General features: G+C 35.1%; 1 protein-coding gene across 19 annotated transcripts in view; it reads left to right on the top strand.

The window, feature by feature from the left end:
- OSBPL8 (oxysterol binding protein like 8) overlaps window positions 1–22,909 on the top strand; it is a 207,975-nt gene that overhangs the window by 100,600 nt on the left and 84,466 nt on the right. For 13 of the 19 annotated variants that reach the window (NM_020841.5, XM_011537856.4, XM_047428251.1 and 10 more), the window contains one exon: window positions 8,184–8,321. In NM_020841.5, coding sequence (NP_065892.1) covers window positions 8,184–8,321 — 138 coding nt within the window. The remainder of the gene's footprint in view (window positions 1–8,183; window positions 8,322–22,909) is intronic. The other 6 variants (NM_001003712.2, NM_001319653.2, XM_017018769.3 and 3 more) reach the window with 1 other exon arrangement.

The following is a 22,909-nucleotide window of genomic DNA, read 5'->3' as shown; positions in this document are numbered from 1 at the left end:
TAATGAAGCATTAATTTTATAGAGGAGAGCCTGAAGTTAAGATAGCACAAATATCCGAGAAGTTAGAATTGGTTACTAGTCCAGTGTGTCTTCCTTCTACTGTTATTCAAAGATAGAAGGAAACTGTTTGCTGCATTCAAGTGTAACTAAACAGTTAAAATTTTACTGCATCATAGATGAAGATTTTTAACTTCATTGATGAATAATATAGAAAATTATATTGATTTAGGAAGTTTTATTATTGATTCCTAAACAATTATCTGATTATTGCAAGTCAGTTTACTGTTCTGGGACTCATATTTCATTGACCTAGGAAAGGAACTGAATGAGAAAATGGTAAAGGTTTCTTCTAACTATAAACTTTTTTAGTCTAGATCAGTTGCTGTTTATCTCTAACTGGTTATAGTATGTATGTAATTTTTTTTCTAAAAAGAGAGGATTTAAAGTAATATGCTAAATCCTTTTTTTTTTTAATTCTTATTTTTTAGAGACAGGGGACTCACTCTGTCACCCAGGCTGGAGTACAGTAGCACGACCATAACTCATGCAACCTTGAACTTCTGGGCTCAAGGGATCTTCCTGCCACCTGAGTAGCTAGGACTCCAGGCTTGTGCCACCACACCCAATTAATTTTTGAAATTTTTTGTAAAGATGTGGTCTCACTATGTTGCCCAGGCTGGTCTTGAACTCCTGGTCTCAAGTGATCCTCCTGCCTTGGCCTCCCAGAGTGTTGGGATTACAGGTGTGAGCCACCGTGCCTAGCCCTTTTTTCATTCTTAAATGCAATAACTCAAAATATTTTATAAATATTATTTATTATACAATCATCATTAGGAGGTAGAAATCTTAAAAATAGAAAAAAGAACACAAATCTCAAAATGTTGTTTTTGATTTTCTTGAGACAGGGTTTTACTCTGACACCCAGGCTGGAGTGCAGTGGCACAATCACAGCTTACTGCAGCCACAACTTCTCCTAGACTCAAGCGATCTTCCCACCTCAGCCTCCTGAGTAGCTGGGACTACAAGCGTGTGCCCAGCTAAATTTTTTTTATTTTTATTTTTTGTAGACACAGGGTTTTCCTACATTGCCGAGGCTGGTCTTAAACTCCTGGACTCAAGCGATCCGATCCTCCTGCCTTGGCTTCCCAAAATGCTGACATTGCAGGTGTGAGCCACTGCACCAAGCTTCAAAATATTTTTATGTTTTGTTGTTCAGCCTTGTGATACTTACTTGGCATTTAATTTCAATGGATTCTTCAGTTTCTTTAATTACCTCATATATTTAGACATGGACTCAGGTGAACTGAATGGCACTGCTGAGCTTTATAAATAGAATAGCATTTTAAATATTAACTGAAATATTTTATCTTAGGAACTGGGTTTTTACAAATGGAGATCTTTTTTACTTCGAATAGAAGAAATTTACTTAAGGTTATATATTTCAAGCATATATATAAATAAAAATATACAACATAATATTAGAGATGACTTTATCATGTACTCTGCCAAGTATTAAAAGGCTGGGTCTGTATAATCATTTGTTAGAGACCATATATCTTTTAAAGTGAAGTACAGTTGACCCTTGAACAAGACAACTTTTAACTACACGAGTCCACTTCTATGTGTATTTTTAAAAATAAATATATTGGAAAATTTTTCTGAGGTTTGTGACAATTTAAAACTCACAGATGAACTGTACCTTAGAAACATAGAAAAAATAAAGGAAAGGTTAGGTATATCATGAATGCATAAAATATATGTAGGTACTAGTTTATTTTCTTACTACTTTAAAATATACACAAATCTATTACATAAGTAAAAATTTATCAAAACTTTTCACACACACCGTACACGTTGCCATTCCCAGTTGAGAAAAATGTAAACAAACATAAAGATACAATATTAAATCGTAACTACATAACATTAACTAGTACATACCGTACTACTGTAATAATTTTCTAACCACTTCCTGTTATTACTATGAGCTCAGGTGTTGCGAATATCTGCTTAAAATGCTGTGTGATGCTAATCATCTCTGTATGAAGTTATTTGCTCCAGTAAATTGCATATTGCTTTAAAAAGTCATTTCTCATCATTCTTGCCTATTTTCATCATGTTTCGTGCAATATTGTAAACCTTGAATAACGCTATGGGACCCATGTGAAGTACCACTGTTGATGCTTCGGTTGCTCCCAAGAAGCAGACAAAGGCCATGACATTACAAGAAAAAGTTTAATTGCTTAATATTTAGCTCTAGATTGAGGTCTGCAGCTGTGGTTGCTGCTATTTCAAACTGATGATTCATCTTGTAAACAGATGGCATAAACTTATGGTATCAATAAATATGGTATAGTACTGTAATTGTATTTTCTCTTATGATTTTCTTAATAACATTTTCTTTAGCTTATGTATATATTGTATTACATAATACAATATGTAATACATACAACATATACAATATGTGTTGACTCTTCGTATTATGTATAAGGCTTCCAGTCAACAGCAAACAGTAGGCTATTAGTACTTAAGTTTTTGGAGGGTCAAAAGTTAAATGCACTTTTTTTTTTTGACACGGAGTCTTGCTCTGTCACCTAGTGCAAGGACACAACCTGGGCTGCCTCAGCCTCCTGAGTAGCTGGGATTACAGGCGTGCACCACCATGCCCAGCCAATTTTGTATTTTTAGTAGAGATGGGGTTTCACCGTGTTGGCCAGGCTAGTCTCAAACTCCTGACCTCAAATAATCTGCCTGCCTCCCAAAGTGCTGGGATTACAGGTGTGAGCTACCACTCCCAGTCCCTAAATACACATTTTTGACTGCTTAAACGTCAGCTGTAATTTCTTGGTACTTGATTAGTATCATGTACTATAGAATGAAAAAAGTACGTGATCTATACTGACATTTAAATTATTGGAGTATTTAAGAAATGTATACCTTAGAAGAAAAGGAGATATAGGATTTACATACAGATTATTATTTATGACTTTAAAAAATTACTTCATCTTATTTTAGCTTCCACTTAGATTAAAGGCAAACTTTGAAACTTGTAAAATTCTTCAAATTTTATATTGATGAGTTGAATTCAGAAGGTAAAAATGTTTTTGATTCATGTTCTCCTTAGATGCAGCAGATATGTTAATTATATTAACTATTTCAGTGTGATTTCTACTAAAGATGAGTAATGTGAGTAGCAAAGCAGGTTGCTTTACTTCCACTTGAAGTAGAAACAGCAGAGGGCACTGTAATGTTATCTTTGGTAGGTGAGACGGTGAAACTGCACTGGAGTCACACAGTGATTCATTTGCCAAATATCTATTCAGTCATTTAGAGAGTATTTAGTGAGTATCAGTTATATGCCAAGGGATACAGAAAAAAAGTCACTGTCCCTCTTAAACTTATGTTTGAATAGTCTACTATTATGTAACTGATGTAGGAAATCATAATGATTTTTATATTCCCTAGCCTCTTTTGTCTGTATAGTTGTTAATGCTTGTGAATGGGGTGAGGGAAAATAAATAGAAACATGGGCTTTCTGGTTTTTTTGGTAAAGAGGTGCACTCTGTATACTGCTGTTTCTGCATATTCTTGTTACTTCACGGCTATCAAAATCATGTAGTAATACTTCCATCGAAAATGGATTAGAAAGGGTGAATAGAGCTAACTTTACAGTTCAGGCTGTTTTAAAGTTATTCAAGACATGGACACCTATGTTTTACTGACAGAATGCTAAAACCTACATTAATTCTGCTAGTGGTTCTTATAAAGTATTTTAAATTAGCATTAAATGTTCTGTCTGATACATACAAAAGAATATGTGTCATATGTAAATGAGAGCATAATTATACAATGAGCCCTTATTGAGCTATCACTCAGCTTAAGAACTAGAATCTTCCATGTACCTTAGGTCTTTCTGCTGCTTTTTTTTTTTTTAGATAGAGTCTCGCTCTGTCGCCCAGACTGGAGTGCAGTGGTGCAATCTCGGCTCACTGCAAGCTCCGCCTCCCGGGTTCACGCCATTCTCTTGCCTCAGCCTCCGAAGTAGCTGGGACTACAGGTGCCCACCAACACGCCCAGCTAATTTTTTTTTTTTTTGTATTTTTTAGTGGAGACGAGGTTTCACCGTGTTAGCCAGGATGGTCTCAATCTCCTGACCTCGTGATCCACCAGCCTCGGCCTCCCAGAGTGCTGGGATTACAGGCTTGAGCCACCGCGCCCGGCCTCTGCTGCTTTTTTATCCCTGAGCCTGCCCCAAGAGGGCATGACTAGGTTGTATTTTTTTCTTTTTATTATTCTTTGCTTTTTAAAAAGTCTTTTTTTTATTGTTTTTTACTCATGTATGTATCACTAGATTTTGCTTGGTTTTCAATTTTAAAAGAATGGTGTCATGGTTTATATAATTTTCTAGGACTTGCTGTTTGTAGTTACCTTTTTTTTTTTTTTTTAATTTTTTAAAGAGACAGGGTCTTGCTCTGTTGCCCACACTAGGGTGCATTGGTGTTATCACAGCTTACTGCAGCTTTGAACACCTGGGCTCAAGTGATGCTCCCACCTCAGCCTCCCTAGTAGCTGGGACTACAGATGCCTGCTATGCTAGGATTACAGTGTGAGCTACCACGCCCAGCTAACTTTTTTTAATTTTTATTTCTTTTAGAGATAGGTCTTGCTATGTTGTCTAGGCTGGTCTTGAACTCCTGGCCTCAAGCAATCCTCCCACCTCAGCCTCCTGAGTAGCTGGGATTATAGATGCAAGCCGTTGTGCCTGGCTGTAATTAACATTTTACTTTTAATATTCAATCATGTCGTTTGTTATAGAACTAGATCATTCCTTTTTAGTGCTATATACTATTTCATTATATGGATATGCCAGAATTTATTAAAATTCATTTTTCAATTGATGAATATGTTGTTTGGTTTTTGCTATTATGAACAGTGTTGCTATGAACATTCTTATTCTTGTCTCTTGGTATATACCTGTAAAAGTTTTTCTAGATCCAAGAGTGGAATTGTTGGACCCACAGGGTATTCAGTTTTATATAAGAAGCTCACATTGTTTTCCAAAGTGCTTGTATCAACTTATACTCCATTAACAGTGCTTAAGACATCTCGATGATCCCATCCTCATCAGTATTTGGTATTATCAGACATTAATTTTTGTTAATTTTACTGAGTATAAAATATTTATTATTTTGATTTGTATTTGCCTCATTACTAAAAAAGGATGAACATCTTTTCATACATTTATTGCCCATTTGCATTTTTCTTTTGTGAATCACTGTTCAAGTCTTTGCCCTATTTTGCTATTATGATGTTCTTTTTCTAATGATTTATTGAAGTTTTTTTTTAAGAACATTCTAGGTACCAACCTTTTGTTAATTATGGGTGTTGCAAATATCTTATTTTGTGCCTTTTCAGTTTATGATACCTTTAAATAAATTTATACTTTTAATATTGAACTTACTGATTTTTTAATTTTTGGGTTAGTGCTTTTTTGTGTCTTTTTAAAGGAATCTCTGTCCCAAGTTTATGAAGATATTCTCTTATTCTAAAGATTTTCCAGTTTTGCTTTTTTACATTATGTCTGTAGTCTTCATAGAACTATTCTTTGTGTGTGGTAAGAAGTAGAGTTCTCTCTACTTTTCCAATATTGATGACCAGTTGATAACCTCATATTGTTAACTGAGTAATTTATTCTCCCTATTTCTGTTGTATATCTGAGCTCCATGTATGTATGTGTCTGTTTCTGAAAGCTATCTGCTATGTTCTTTAGGTCAATTTATCTCTCTGCATCAGTACCATACATTTAAAATTATTTTTAGGAATCAAATGAATCTTGGATTTAGTAACTGAAAGAGACACCATATACTTTATGATGTTTTATAAAAATATAAAGTTGGTTTATTGACTCATTCAACATAAATTTATTGAACATCTTTAGTATGGTAGGATGCGACACCTTCAATAGGGCAGGAAGTTTACCAGGACCTGAGAATTTATGGGAAAATAAGGCAGACAAAACTTCCTTCTCTCATGGAATTTAATGTCTAATGGAGGAAGAAAAGCAATAAACTATATTTTTCAGATAATGATAGGAGCTACAATGAAAATCATGTAAGGTAAAGTGATAATAGTATAACTGTGAAGTGGTGGGTACTAACCCTAAAAAAAAAAAAATGCCAAATTGTGCCATGTTGAAATTAAGAACGTATCAAAAGTACCATGAAGAAACCAAAGGGCTTTTCTGAAGAGATGACCTTTGAGCCCAGACAACAAAGGAGAGGAGCTAATAATGTGATGATCTGGGGTAGGAATATTCCAGGTAGAAAGAGCAAGAGATAAAAGCCCTGTGACTGGGCAAAAGATGGCCTTTCTTGAGGAAATACCAAGAAGACTATTACGGCAGGAGCCAAGTGAGTGACAGGAGAGTAGTAGAGAATGAGGTTGGAACAAGTAGCAGGCCAGACTGTGTTGAATTTCCAGGTTATGGATTATATTGTAAATGTAATGGGAAGCCAGTGAGGATATTTCTGCATACTGGAAATCTAATTTATGATTTTAAAAGATTGCTCAGTAAGAGAAAGAGAAAAATAAAAACACATCTAAGGTTTTGGCCTGAGAAAGTAGTGGGAGGGGAGTAGTGATGGCATGAACTGAGTTTGGGGAGAGGCAGGTTTGAAGGATGAGCAGAATCAAAAATTACATTCTAGATAAATTTGAGATGCCTGTAAATAATTAAGAGGTGATTATAAGGCAGGCAGTTGGGTATGTAAGTTTGAGTTTAGGGGGAGATAGGAAGTTGGGAGTCATCAGTCTATACATTTTTTTAATTGACTTGGAAAAATAATTTTTTATATTTTGGATGAAAAGTGCAAGTGTTTTTGTATTTTTACTTTGGAATCTAAGGAGCTGAAATAAAATTTTGAAAACTATCGCAACAGAAAACATTTTAAACCAATTAGATTTAAAGGACATGATGATAAAAAGGTGAATGTGAAATTCTGAATGTCTGTATTGAAAAATAAAACCTATGGTGGAGACTAAACCGTCTTTTTTTTTTGAGGTGGAGTTTCGCTCTTGTTGCCCAGGCTGGAGTGCAATGGCATGATCTCTGCTCACTGCAACCTCTGCCCCCCAGGTTCAAGCGATTCTCCTGCCTCAGCCTCCCTAGTAGTTGGGATTACAGGCGCGCCAACACGTCTGCCTAATTTTTGTATTTTTAGTAGAGACGGGGTTTCGCCACGTTGGCCAGGATGGTCTCGAACTCCTGGCCTCAGGTGATCCACCTACCTCGACTTCCCAAAGTGCTAGTAAATCGTCCTTTCTTAAGATGAAACTCGAGTTTTTATAGGCTGAAAGCACAGGAATATAAAATGAAAGAATGTGGAGATCCTCAGGTACTTTGGACTTGGCAGTTTGCCCTGTTTCTTCATTGAGTGTTTTCACTTTGTTTCTGCTCTCTGAAACTGGGCATGGCTCGCTATTACTGAGCGATAGATAGTAGGATGGCCAAATGGGTGAGAAGCAACTACAAAGCACTACTTAAATTGTTTATTGGGGCAGCAAGCTTTAAGAGACAGACTTTGGAACCAAATGGTTCTGAGTTAGAATCTTGCCTCTATTACTGTTTAGCCTCAGGCAAGGCAATCTCTGACCCTCAAGTTTCCTCCTCTCTAAAACAGTTATCATACCGACTTTTCGTGAAAATTAGAAATTAGAGTAGAAATTCTAGCGAATGTCAAATATTATTTTATACTGCTAGTAATTTGTAGTTTTTCTGATTACTAATGAGGCTGAGTATCTTTATATGTTTATCGACGATTTGTATTTTTTTTTTTGGGAAATGACTGGCTTTGGCTTATTTTGTTGGTAAATATAAAGAATAAATAGCACAATGAAAGGCACACAGTAAACCTTAGGCCTTTCATTATCAGTTGGATATGTATTTTCATTATTATAATGTCTATAATTTGTATATTTGACTCAAACATACCTGTCAGTTCTTCTTGGATCAGTAACAAACCAACATGAAAACAAGATGACTGTGAGAATTTATTAAAGTATTGAGTTGGTAAAATGAATATAACCACCAAGGCCATTTCAGTTTTGATCTTATTCCATGTTATTAACTATACTATTATGTAAATCTGTGACTTCAGTACTAATTATTTTTCCCTTCTTTCCTTGAGCTGTTGTAGCAAACAGTGACGAATCTCAGCTTCTGACACCAGGAAAGATGAGTCAGCGCCAAGGAAAAGAAGCTTATCCAACGCCAACCAAAGATTTGCATCAGCCATCTCTTAGTCCAGCAAGTCCTCATAGCCAGGGTAGGAAGTTGTGGTTTTCATGTTTTGTCTTGTTTTTGTTTTTGTTTTTGGAGGGGAGAAGGGGAGAATGACATTTGGGGACTATCATATTTTTTTTCTTTTTAACTATTTGGTTTTGTAAGGGGTTTTGTTTGTTTTGTTTAGGTCATCTATAATACTCTTGAAATGAGTACACTTTCCTTTAGACTTTTAATTTTTTTTAATATTCTCCAACATACTTCGTTAGTTATATCATTCATCTAATTTGGCGATTCTCACACTTTGTGGTCTCATGGTTCCTTTGTAGTCTTAAAAATTATTGAAGACTGTGAAGTGCTTTTGTTTATGTGAGTTATATCTATTTTATTATATTATAAATTAAAACTAGAAATTTAAAAATTTAATTCATTTAAAGTAATAAACCCATTACATGTTAATGTAAGTAACATTTTTATTAAGAACTACAGTGTTTTCTTTCCCTCTACTCCCCAAAAAGTTGATTGAGAAGGTTGGTAATGGTTTATCCCAGGACTTCTCAACCTTCGAACTATTTTCAGGACTTCTCAACCTTGGCACTGTTTTGGCCTGGAAAGTTCTTTGTTGTGGAGGGCTGTCCTATGCATTATATGATGTTTAGCAGTATCCCTGGCCTCTACCCAGAAAATGTCAATAGCAGTTACCCCAGTTGTGACAACCAGAAATGTTTCCAGATGTTGCCAAGTATCCCTTGAGGGACAAAACCATCCATGATTAAGAACTGCTTTTTGGCGGTTTTTGCAAATCACTTTAATGTCTAGCTTAAAAGACACCTGCATTTTTGTATCTGCTTCTGCAGTCTGTTGTGATGTGATGATCCGATTGAAGTATATGAATAAAATCTGGTCTCATGCATATATATATATGGGGGGGGTTTATACATAATTATAGATATTCTTTGATAATATGCCAAAACTTGACTAGTAGTAATTTTCTTTATGTTAATTGCAATCTGGAATCTGAAACGCTGTCAGTACACTTTTCATACTCTGTTAAAATTCACTCTTGAATTTTGAATGGCTCTTTACTCATGCATGATTTTGTAACATCATGCATTAGTCATTTGGAAAATATTTGCTCACTGAATTATGCAGATCTTCCAAGTGTTGACACATTAAAAAATATAGTACAGAGAAGGGCTTTATGTATGCTTCTCATTCTGTTGCACAGAATATTAAAATCTTACGTACTAAAGGTTCAAGAGCAATAATTTTTACTTCTTCATCAAGGACATCTGTAAGTGAAACTGTCATTCTTCTGTGAGTGCATGACTGAAGAATTCAGTGCCTACTACTCCAGTTTGGTGCCTCTGCCTTGATTTATGCTAAGTTGCCAGCAGTTTTACCCAAGATTGCTTTTGTGCCATCAATGAAAATGGCAACATAATGAAAAAGTATTATGAAACTAGTTTTCACCTTGCAGATCCTCTAGAAGGGTCTTTGGGTACTCCCAGAAGTTCAGGGATCACAGTTTCTAATTCATAATTGATAAGTTTTGTATAATGGATTCTGCTCCTCAGCTGAAGTTTATTTAATCAAATGTACGGAAATCTCCTGTGGTACTACTCATAGCTGTGGTGGAAGGACTTCTGCTTTTAAAACTGAGAAATGAAATTTGGTGTTTTGAAAGTTAATGTATACTTAGGTTATTGAGTATTTTTAAAAATTAAATTTAGAGTTCTGTCATACTTTGTAATTAGTCAGTTTTGATGTTGTAACTTTATGAATTATCTTTTGAAATTTGGCTTTAGTAACTTTTCAAATGAGTACTACCTTGTAAATAGTAAGTTACATGATCATTTTCTACTTTCTTTCTTTATTTTTTGAGACAGAGTCTTGCTCTGTCGCCAGGCTAGAGTGCAGTGGCGCGATCTCAGCTCACTGCAACCTCCATCTCCCGGGTTCAAGCGATTCTCCTGCCTCAGCCTCCTGAGTAGCTGGAATTACAGGCGCATGCCACCATGCCCAGCTAATTTTTGTGTTTTTAGTAGAGACGGGATTTCACCGTGTTGGCCAGGATGGTCTTGATCTCTTGACCTTGTGATCCGCCCACCTTGGCCTCCCAAAGTGCTGGGATTACAGGCGTGAGCCACCGCACCCATCCTCTACTTTATTTCAATAGAAAATGTTTATCTAGTCATATATTAGATGGAAACACTTTCATATAGCATGGTAGGAACTATAAAAATTTATGTAACAAGATGAAAATAATTACTATAACATATATTGCTTAGTTGTCGATTGTATTTTTGAAAAGTTAGCATTTTTGTTGCCAAAATGCTTTTTGGAAGACCTGAAAAACGATATATGATACACACTCTGGTATAAATAAGCTTCATTAAGATAAAATTCTGAAACAATGCAACTGACCTGGTTTTTTTTTGCACTGTGCATCAGAATTTTGGCTATAATAGATATGGTTTCTCTGATGCATGTATCTGTGCACTAGAATATTTAGAGGAATTCTTTAACTTAGGAGTTAATGAACCAACAAAAGGGTTAGTTACTAATAATTAAAACTACACTTGTTTATATTTATTATGAATGTTTTCAGGCAAACAGGGAAGTTAAAAAAAGAGTACAGTGAACACTAATATACCCATTGTATAGATGTAAGGAGTTATTAACCTTTTGTTTTGTTTGTTTCATTTATTTAGGGTACAGCGTGAATATTTAGAGTAAATTACAGACTTCATGACGTACCCCAAAATACTTAATGTGTCTCTAAAAAATGAGCACATTTTCTTATGTAACCATAAAACCTTTATTACATCTAACAAAACTGATGATAATTGCTTAACATAACCTAACACCTAGTCTATATTTAAATTTTGCCTAGTTTTCCCCAAATCTTTCTACAGTAGGCTTGCTGAAACCAAATAAAGTCCATACATCTTATTTGGTTATGTCATTACGTCCTTAATCCTAAAGAGTCTCCTTGTTTACTTTTGTTTTCTTTTGTGTCTTTGACGGTTTTAAGAAACTTGGCTGACCGGGTGCAGTGGCTCATGCCTGTAATCCCAGCACTTTGGGAGGCCAAGGCGGGTGGATTACCTGAGGTCAGGAGTTCGAGACCAGCCTGGCCAACATGGTGAAACCCCATCTCTACTTAAAAATACAAAAAAATTAGCCAGGCTTGGTGGCGGGCACCTGTAATCCTAGCTATTTGAGAGGCTGAGGCAGGGGAATCACTTGAACCTGGGAGGCAGAGGTTGCAGTGAGCCGAGATCGCGCCATTGCACTCCAGCCTGGGCAATAAGAGTGAAACTCCATCTCAGGAAAAAAAAAAATGGATCTAGGCCAGTGTCCTGTAGAGTGTTTGACTTTTTTAGATTGTTTGATTACATCTTTGCGGTATTACTTAATTTGTTTCTGTATCTTCTATATTTTCTGTAAACTAGAAGTTAAATGCAAAGGCTCGATTATATCTAGCTAGAGCATTTTTGGCAAGAATACTTTGTAGGGAGTGTGTAGTACTTCATGCTGCATCACATAAGAATTCACTTAATATCTGATTGTCCTGCTGCTAGTGATACAAGATTGGTAGATTTAGGTGAGGATAGCCTGATTCTCTTCATTGAAAGTTGCGTCTTTTCATTCTTTATGACTTGAAAGTGAAGATAAAGATGATATATTTGGCACCTTGCAAAAATCGTGTCCCCCATCAACTTTTTACTGAAAGATGTTTGAATCCTTTGATGATCATTAACTGAATCAGTTACAATATTAGGAGTTGAAAAATAGTGATTTTATAATTCTGTCATTCTTGTTATATGTGTTAATGAAATCTTTAAAGACAAGATCATCACTTAGGGTTACTTGGTAAATGTGAAATATAGTTAGTTCCTACAGAAAAGGTAGGCTGTGTGGGTATTTGTTTACTGCAAAGTATTAATTTTTTGATTGAAGGCGTAATGTGAAGTCTACTTCCAGTGGTGACAAATTCTTTTTGCCTTTTAAGTTTTTTTAATATCATGAGGAACTCATGGATTTTAATATATTCATTGTGTTTCAGTCATTGGTAAAGTGAAGATAATAGTATTTAGCACATAGGATTTTATTAAGGTTTAAAATGAATTAATATGTATATAAAGCCTAGCACCTGGTAGATGATAACCACACATGATCGCTGATATAATAATATTATTATCATTACTGTCATCAGTATTTTAAATAAAAAATGATTCCATTTGGGTTGAAGGCTGACATTTTAGGCTTTGCTATACTTCAGTATCTTTTAGAGGCTCATTTAGAACTTCTTTTAGTATGGATGGCCCATATATAACCCTCTAATTTAAAGCAGCCACGGTGTTAGTCATATCTTTATTTGCACTTAAATGTTCCTAGGTAAGTTTATGAATAAATTAATATTTTTAGAGTAAATTACATAGTAGATGTACTTCTTTAAAAGTCATTGGCTTTTTGTAAAGCAAAATACCTTCCTCTGGTTTATCCACTGAAATTCCATATCACAGTTTTCATGTGTAGGAGGTTTGTTTGAAATAAGATTATCTGTTAGCTTTTGGTCATGGTGAAGATTAACTGCTGGAGGAGATAAACCAATGTCCAGAAAACCTCTGATGTATCTGCCTTATCTCAAGTACTCATGATCAGCATTTTAGCTTCTGAATGGAAAGAATTAGAGTTCCAAAAGCTTATTGATAATATAGTGCATAACATTTAAAGGTCCTCATGTCTCTGAGGGCTTTTATATGCCTTAGCTCATGGAATTCTTACGAGGACTTTATGGTATATAAATCATTATTCCCCCCATTTTACAAATGAGGAAACTGAGCAGTTGGTAAGGTTTACAAGTCTACATAGTATGTAGTAGAGCTAAAATTTGAACTTAAACTCAGACTTTTTAAGTTCCAGTCAATTTTGTCATATTTTTGGAGGTTCAAATTTTTCAAACTTTGAGTCGAGTATTTTGATAGAATTCCATTATGTATACAATGCTTTGGAGATATATTTTTTGGGGGGTAGTACCTAGGAGTGCAATTGCTGAATCATGTGGTGAGTGTTTGTTTCACTTTATAAGAAATGGCCAAGCCATTTTCCAAAGTAGTTGGACCGTTCTTACATTCCTCTTAGGCAGTGTGTGAGCTGTCCAGTGGCTCTACATCCTTGATCTTTTTTATTTTAGTCATTCCAGTAGGTGTTTAGTGGTATATTGTGGTTTCAGTTTACATTTCCCTCATTACTGATGATGTTTGAGCATCTCATATGCTCATTGGCCATCTTTTACATCTTCTTTTTGCAAAGTATCATTTCATATGTTTGCCCATTTGAAAATTGTCTTGTTTGTATTATTATGTTTTAAAGGTTCTTTAATACATTTTAATATCATTTTGATAGCCATGTGTATTGAGAGTACTTTCTTCCAGTCTTGGCATGCTTTCTTATTTTCTTAATGCTTTCTTTCTAAGAGCAGATGTTTTTAATTTCATTGATGCCCAATTTATCAGTTTTTCCTATGATTCAAACTTTTTTCCTATTAAAGAAAGTTTTGCCTACTCTAAAGTTGCAAAGGATACTTTCTGTGTTTTCTTTTAGAAGTTATAAAGTGTCAAGGCTCTGATTTATCTCTTGATTTTTATTCTTACTTTTACCATCTTGGTTAGATCTCTATCATTTTATGCCTGCATTACTGAGTAGTACCACAGCCTCCTAACTGCTATTAGAACCTTGCCCTCCAACATACCAGTTCATCTTTCTTAACAAAACAACCAAACAGAAAATTATTTTTTACATACTTTGGTGAGATTATGATGGGTTCAGGGTTCTTATAGGTGTGTATTACCAGAGAACACATGGATCCTATGAAGTAGATCTCTGAGGGAAATAATATGAATAAAAGAGAAATATAAAATTTTAAGTGAAAGTACCACTTTTTATTATTAAAGCTTTTAACTATAAAAAAACTAATGAGATGGCTACATTTATGTCCCTCTCATTCTCAAAAAGGCAGTGGCTTACTGTTGCTTAGAGCAGTAGCACCTACATCTGGCTATATCTGAGTCACCTGGAAGCTTTGCTTAGATATAGATTTCACTCCACTCTTTCAGAATCTCTAAGGGTGAGGCTCAGTAACATAATGTGTTTATAAAGCTCTCCAAGTGTGTCTGATGTAGCAACTTCTGGACCAGCAAGTGGAAACCAGCAATTGAGAGCATAAATTTAGGCTTCCATATCTTTGGTAGTCAAGGTTCTTAGTATGTCTGATTTTACTGTACTCTTCCAGTTTCATCTTGTGTTTCTCATCATCGTGGACCCAGCTAGATAGCTTTCTTCACTGTTTCCCAGTGAGACTGTACTTTTATTTGTGCTGGTCTTCTATAGTGGAATATGCTTCTCCTTTCTACTTGCTTATCCAAATACTTCTCATTCTAGAAGGTGTAGTTTAAATCTGTTCTCTTTTGTAAGGCTTTCTTAGGTGATACTGTTATCTCAGTTTTCAAAATTCTTATATCACTGCTTTGGGGATTTCACAATATGCTGCTTTATATTGTTATTATAATAGGTATGTTTGATTTCTTCAAGCAGTGTTGTAAAGAGAGTTAAATGCCTTAAATTACATTCATAATAAATGAATGATTGCTTACCATCAATTTAAGAATTTCATCTATTCTCATTCATGTTTCTGGCTGAATCTCTGTTATGTATATTGACTCATACCAACTTAATGTAGCTCATCATTCTTTAAAAGCTGTTCTAAAGTTTTTTGCACTCTGGTTTTGTTCTATTGTTTTAGGATTTTTTTTAAGAGCTGGGGAGACTGACTCTCCTTACCCCACACACATCAAAATACATTTTTGTTTGTTATATGTTTAGATTTTGGTGAATTAGATTATTCAAGAAATTATGTATTTTCCAGATTGTGTTCCTTATTCAAAGGCTTAGTATCAGTTTACTTTAAAATAATTTTACCTTAAGTAAAATTATAGTCTCTTAAAGAGGATGGTATTTGTTTTGATTTATTTGAGCCGAACATATTTCAATTGTTTATTAAGAAAGACAGATATGTAAGGGCCGGGTGCAGTGTCTCATGCCTATAATAGCAGAACTTTGGGAGGCCAAGGGGGGCAGATAACCTGGGGTCAGGAATTTGAGACCAGCCTGGCCAACATGGTGAAACCATCTCTACTAAAAATATTAAAATTAGCCAGGCATGATGGTGCATGCCCATAGTCCCAGCTACTGGGGAGACTGAGGCAGGAGAATCACTTGAACTTGGAAGGCAGAGGTTGCAGTGAGCCAAGATCGCGCCACTGCACTCCAGCCTGGGAGACAGAGCAAGACTCTGTCTCAAAAAAATGAAAAAGAAGACAGAAATGTAGATTAATTAGGCTCGCGTTCACCCTTTCCTCCTCTGCTTTTAACTAAGGACAATGCCAAAGGAGCCTGGAGCCTAAATTATAGCTCATCTCATGGGCAAATAGGCAAACATGACACACATTCTTCTGTGTCCTGTTTGAGATTATTATCAAAGCTTCATGAAATACTATAACTTACCTTGTAGCTACTCTCATTCTTGGTTGTAAAAAGCTATTTTGTATGTTTTTATTTTTAAAAAACCATCTTTCAATTATAGTGCTTTGTGAGAGAATATATAATATTGCTTTACTAAAACTTACAAATGAGTCCATTTCAAACTAGTTTTTAAATGTTTAAAATTTTAAAACTTTTAAAACAAAAACTTTAACCTGCTTAATCAGTTTTATCAAAATTAACAGACTATGCTTGGTTTAGCTAGGCTCAAATTAAAATATCTGTTTTTAGTTTTGTGTCTCTTATCCCTTAGTACGTTCTCTTAAACCTGCAAAGTCCCTTCACTTTAAATGCTCTAGCAGCACTAAAAATATGATAAGTCAATATCCACTACTTCATAGAAAACTTCAAAGGAGATTTTCTTTCATACAATTTACTGATGTGAAGATACTGTACCAGATTCCCCAGGGTGACAGCGTTACACATTACTGGTATAATCTCAGGTGACTAACATGGAGTACCTTCATTTAAGTGGTTCACAGATAAGAAAGACCTAGAAATCATTTTCCTCCATGAATTGAAGCAGTTCCTCCTGTCTTGTTAAGACATTTCTAGTATCAATTATGAACATATGTGGGACTGTACACATATAACAAATGTGTTCTTGAATATGTTATATTTTGGAAAATTGTTTTACCTGAAAGAGGGCTTGTAGTTAGACCCACCCCTCCATTATCTTTAATTTCTCCCCAAAATGCTGTGCTTTGGTTTGTAGCCAGAGGTTGTTTTCTTTAGAAATAGTATAATTACAGATTATGCTAATTTTCTTCTGAGTTTTAAAATCCTTAATGCATTAAATATCTGTAATTTAGATTTCAAGTTATGTTTAAAAATAGGTTGTTTTCTGTTTTGAAGTTCCTTGTCTTTGGGTAGTTGCTTCATAGAACTATGAAAATACCTATTGAATAATGAAAGAGAATATAATATTTGGCAAATTCAGGATATAAAAATGAAATCGTTTTTTAAATCTCTTATAAAATGTTATGGTATCTTTGTTCAACTGTCCCTATATTCCTACAGGAGAAACTGAAATACTTTGAAAGCATTTATTGAAAAGTAAGAATGAATAATTCAGCTTTAAGCATCTTTACAAAGATAGGGGGCAGCTGTCTTATTCTTGCCCGGCCTTATTAATTGTTTCTTTAACAAAGCAGAAAGGTGAACATTAAGAACACCAAAGAATTTTTTTTATAATTTTTAATTTTTGTGGGTACACAGTAGGTATAAATATTTATGGAGTACATTAGATGTTTTTATACGAGCATGCAATGCCTAATAATCACATCATGGAAAATATGTTATGTATTTCCTCGAGCATTTATCCTTTGTGTTACAGACAATCAATTATACTGTTTTAGTTACTTTAAAATGTACAATTAAATTATTATTGAATATAGTCACCCTGTTATGCTATCAAATACTAGGCTGTATTCATTCATGCTATTTTTTTGTACCTATTAATTGTCCCCAGCTTTCCCCACCCCACCCTCTCACTACTCTTCCCAGCCTCCAGTAACCATCCTTCTACTCTGTATCTCCATGGGTTCAATCGTTTTGATTTTAAGATGTCACAAATAAGGAGTATTTTTTCCTTGAAAAAATGTTCTTTTATATATTTTTTAACTTAATATAACATTAAAAAATGATCAACTATTACCTGTACTCGTTTCTTAGCTCTTTTCTGTTGGGATTTAGCCTTCTATGTTTTGCAAGTCGGACAGATTGAAATCTCCTTTTTAGCAAGAGTGGTAAAAGTTTTATCTGTAGAGTTGACTACTACAATTTTGTTTTTCTTACCTGAGGCCTAGAGAGGACTTTCTGTATTTTTAATAAATATGTAGCCAAGTAATATCAGTAGAATTGTTAAGTAATATTTGTATAATTTTTGAGAGAAAGTAAACAGCTTCATAGAATTTTTTCTTTTTTTTGGTTGTTGTAACTTTGAACATACATAAATTTTATTTAAGAATGAAACAATGAAATCTTAGCAAGTTGATCTCTTTCCAGGTAAAGGAAGGTTGTTTTTGACAGATGGCCCAATATCCCCTGGGGAATTCAGTATTTTCCGAGTCTCCTCTTTCAAGCTGACTTTCATTTAGCCTGCTTGTAAATAGTCCTGTAGTAGAAAGCAAGTGCAAAGATGATTTTCGCAGCTCCTGCCCACATGAGTTTAATTTGTAATTGGGAAATATAGGGGAAAGAAGTAGGGAAACATTATAAGGAAATATGAAAGCTTAATGTAAGTGAACTTTCAGTTCCAGTAACGTAGCAAAGTAGATGTTCAGAGAAAATCCTTCTAGTAAGAACATCAAAATATGAAGTAAAATGTCTTAGAAATTTACAATGTGAATTGTCAGTAAAATAAGGGAATTAACAGGAGGGGCAGAATTATTGAGAAAGTGGGACTCTAGAGGTGATGAGCTCTGGAGCCAGCATCTGCTAATTTCTGAAGGTCTAAAGCTTGAGTTTTAGCAAGAGAAAGGAGTAAAAGACTGTGGCCCATTCATGATGGAAATTTGGATTGAAGATTCTCCTCATAAAATTAGAGGTCCTGAAGGGTAACGTACTTAGTTAATGAACTGGATAACATACCCACAGAGGAAGACTATATTTGCCTGTTTTGGTCTTGATTCTAGGTGAAATGATGGGAGGAGAGAGTCTTCCTTGAGAAATTCTAAACACAAGCACATATTTATATGAGTTTGGGGTCAAAATCCATATTATCTCTGTGGCAGAAACACCCTTCAGTTTAGTTTAAAACAGTTTGGGTTATTAGTATACACAAGTGCCTGGAAGAACTGACACAAATCTTCTTTAGAGAAGAGTATTTTAAACACAGACTTCAAAGAAGTGTATATGAGCTCATAATTTAAAATCAATAAAAAATTAAAATGAGATGCCATTGTGCACCTGTAAGAAAGAGTAGCTTAAAATCTAAAATACCGTCACCACCAGATGCTGGCGGGGATGTGAAAAAAAAATCATCAATACGTGGGATAACGAACCATTTTCAGAGAGAATCCACATGAGGTACCTACTGTGCAGCTGTATAAAGTCTGCATCAGTTGGAACTATCAGTTGCAGAATGAAATTTAATGGGTGAGAGTCATTTTTAAAAGAGATAAAGCTGAGGATCTTTCAGAATTCTTGAAAGACAACAACTGTCTGATTAAGGAGGCCCCACAATTCCCAAGCAGGAAATCTAAAAAATAATAGCCTTAATGCTGATATTTGGCAAGAAGAAAGGCTCAGAAGTAATGAACTAGAAAAAGAATAATAGAGTAAACCCAAAGTAAACAGGGAAGGAAATAATAATAAAGATAATAAGTTAATTAAATAGAAGGCAAGACACGGTTGAGATCAGGAAAGATGATGGTTGTTTGTAAAGGCTAATAAAATTGTCAAACCTTTGGCAAGCTTAAGGGGAAAAAGAAACATTAGGAATGAAAGGGGACACAACTAAAAATACAAGTAGATGTTTAAAAGATATTATAAACAACTGTAAGCCAATAAATTTCAAAAACTTAATGAAATGAACAGATTTCTGGAAAGGTGATTTCCCAAAACTGACTCCATAATTAGAAAATACTAGTGATTTTTATAATCTTTAAAGTAACCTAATTAGTAATACAGATTACTTTTACAAAGAAAACATGAAACTCAGGTTTACAAACAAATCCTACCAAGCCTTTAGGGAAAAAAAAAGGTAATTTCACATTAGTACTGCATTTCATTGATTATAAAAACACTCTCCCCCCAAGCACATACATATTCTGTCATCTCTGAAATTGAGTTGAATCTTAAATTGATGGTGTTTTACAATCTCTCTTGGTCATTGTCATTGTTAAACAGTTTTTTTAAATCATTCTGAGTTTGGAATGTGTGCTGTATATCTTTTTTTTTTTTGGAGATGGAGTCTCACTCTGTCGCCCAGGCTGGAATGCAGTGGCATGATCTTGGGTCACTGCAACCTCCGCCTCCTGGGTTCAAGCGATTCTCCAGCCTCAGCCTCCTGAGTAGCTGGGATTATAGGCGTGCGCCACCATGCCCAGCTAATTTTTGTATTTTTAGTAAAGATGGGGTTTCACCATATTGGCCAGGCTGGTGTCGAACTCCTGACCTCGTGATCTGCACACCTCGGCCTCCCAAAGTGCTAGGATTACAGGCGTGAGCCACCGCGTCCGGCCTGTGTGCTCTATATCTTATAATTGCCATCAATCTCTCCACCTCCCCCTGTATTTTATGAGCTCTCTGAAGTCAGGAATATAGCCTGTAGTTGGTGAAATCTTAGAACTGATAAAATGAAAAAAGAAACATTCCTTAAATCAGGCTTTTATATGAGAAGCAGGCAAGGACATTGCAAGAGAAAAAAATTATAAGACATTTCTTGTTCATGAACCTAGACGCAGAAGTTCAAAAATTATTAGCAAACTGAATCTAGCAAGGTAAACATTGTACTCACATCAGGGTTGTTCCAGGAGTGCAAGGATGGGTTTGATATTAGAAAATCTATGATTTCCACTTAACACTTTAACAAAGAAGGAAAACTGTTATCATCCTACTAATAAAGAAAACATATTTGAAAATTTTAACATCTACTCACGATAAAAACTCTTAGCAAACTAGGAATAGACTTGATCTTTCCTAACCATGTGAAGTTAGAATCTAGAAGGAGAAAAAGACGTGGACTATTTACACTTCATCTCAAATATTTCAAATTTTGCCAGTGAATAAAAAGTAAAGGAAGAAACAAACTGATAACTGTTCTATACAGACCCCCTAATTGACACAGAAATCATTAAAATTATTAAGAAGTTAGCCGGGCATGGTGGCACACACCTGTAGTCTCAGCTACTTGGGAGGCTAAGGTGGGAGAATTGCTTGAGTACAGGAAGGTTGATGTTGCAGTGAGCCGTAATCGCACCACTGCTCTCCAGCGTGAGCGACAGAGTGAGACCCTGCCTCAAAAAAAAAAAAAAAAAGTTATTAAGAAGTTACTGGGCTGGGCGCAGTGGCTCATGCCTGTAATCCCAGCACTTTGGGAGGCCGAGGCGGGCGGATCATGAGGTCAGGAGATCGAGACCATCCTGGCTAACACGGTGAAACCCCGTCTCTACTAAAAATACAAAAAATTAGCTGGGCGTGGTGGTGCGTGCCTGTAGTCCCAGCTACCCGAGAGGCTGAGGCAGGAGAATAGCGTGAACCCAGGAGGCAGAGCTTGCAGTGAGCCGAGATCGCACCACTGCACTCCAGCCTGGGCGACAGAGCAAGACTCCGTCTCAAAAAAAATAAAAAATAAAAAAAGAAGAAGTTTTACTTAATTTATGTTAACTGCAGTTCTGTGTGCCTATAACAAGTGGTTAGCAAAATGTGATTCAAGGTACACTACTTAAAATAACAGAAAATAAGATACACAACAGTAAATCTAATAAGAGACATGAAATTATCTTATGTGGGGAAAGTGTAACACTAAGATTATGTATTCTAAATAAACAGACCATGTTTACGATAGGAAAATTCAACATTTTTCCAGTGTGACATCACTTCTCATTGATTTTATAGGTTCAATGCATTTTGAATCCATATCTCAACAGGATTTTTTTCAAAGTACTTGATAAGACCATTCTTAACTCTTTAGGGAAAGCAAAGAGCAAAGAAGAGTCAAGATACTCTTGAAGAAAAGCAGAACCAGGCAAGGGTGGGAGTAGAGATGCGTTGCAGTGCATGTAACTAACAAAGGATTAATATCCAGAGAAAGTTAAGTACTCCTATGGATTAACCAAAAAGACCAAAAAGTTCACCAGAAAGATGTCCAAAAGACATGAATAGATACCTAACAGAAGAGGTAACACGGATGGCCAATAAATGTGAAATGATGCTCAACATCATTAAGAATCACCAAATGTAGTTAATCACCAAATAGTAATGAATTGCTATTTCATACCCACCCACCACATCAAAAAAATTTTTCAAGTCTGATAATTACAGGTGTCAGTAAGGATATGAAACCATATGAATTCCCATTTACAACGGATGGAAGCATAATTGGTAGAACCATTTTTGAAAAATAGTTTGACATTATGTAGCAAAGTTAAAGATAAACTCTAATCCTTTGTTTTTATGCTTCTAGGAATACTCTCACGCATGTACCAGCAGAATTGTTGGTAATAGAAGAAAAACACCTGAAAAAACCTAAACCTAAATGTTTGTCATGAGTGGAATGAATAAATATTACAATATATTCATACAATAGAGTACCATACAATAATGAAATGAATGCCTTAAAGCTACAGGAATCAATATGGAAGAATTTACGAAACAAATTAAAGTTAAGACATTTATGTAAAGTTTAAAAACAAGTAAAACTTACCAATGCATTATAGGCAATAGGGATAGATATGTGATAAAACAATGGAATGAGTAAACAGAATTGGGGAAAATGGTGAACTCTGGCTGGAAGAGTGGGAGGTATTTATAATACACATGTGTTATATAAACTTGTGTATATCATATTTAAAATAAATGTTTATTCTTTCTTTTCAAAGGTATAGTTTGTGGACTGTTACTGGTTTCTGTCGTGTTTTCCTAGTTCTGTAACTAGATGAAAAAAATGAGTATACTACCATGAGTTTTTTATTAAGTTAAGTTCCTTCAATTCAAAACATTGTCCTTTATTATAAGATTATAGTTTTTCCAATGTATGGTATTTAATGTCCCTTTATGAATTGATGGAGAATGTGAGTAGTTACAGGTTTGTTTTCTTTTTTTTTTGAATGTGTCTTATTAAGACGAAAATGCAGATAGATATTGGGCGGGGGGGTGGAATTTTACTGGTCCACAAATTTCAAAATTTAGGGACCACTGGTTTATGTTATTTACCATATGAGAGGATTGTGGGTACATGCTAAAGATGTGAAAATTCTTACATTTTTAGATGAAGTAATGAACCATGAAGTTAGTTTGGAACATGGTTACAACCATGGATCCAAAAGAGCTTCTTAAGGACAATGTTAGGCTCATCAT

Source organism: Homo sapiens, chromosome 12 (genome assembly GCF_000001405.40).
Source record: "Homo sapiens chromosome 12, GRCh38.p14 Primary Assembly".
Classification (NCBI taxonomy): domain Eukaryota; kingdom Metazoa; phylum Chordata; class Mammalia; order Primates; family Hominidae; genus Homo; species Homo sapiens.
Note: the sequence above shows the minus strand (reverse complement) of the source record. Positions and strands in the feature narration are given on the sequence as shown.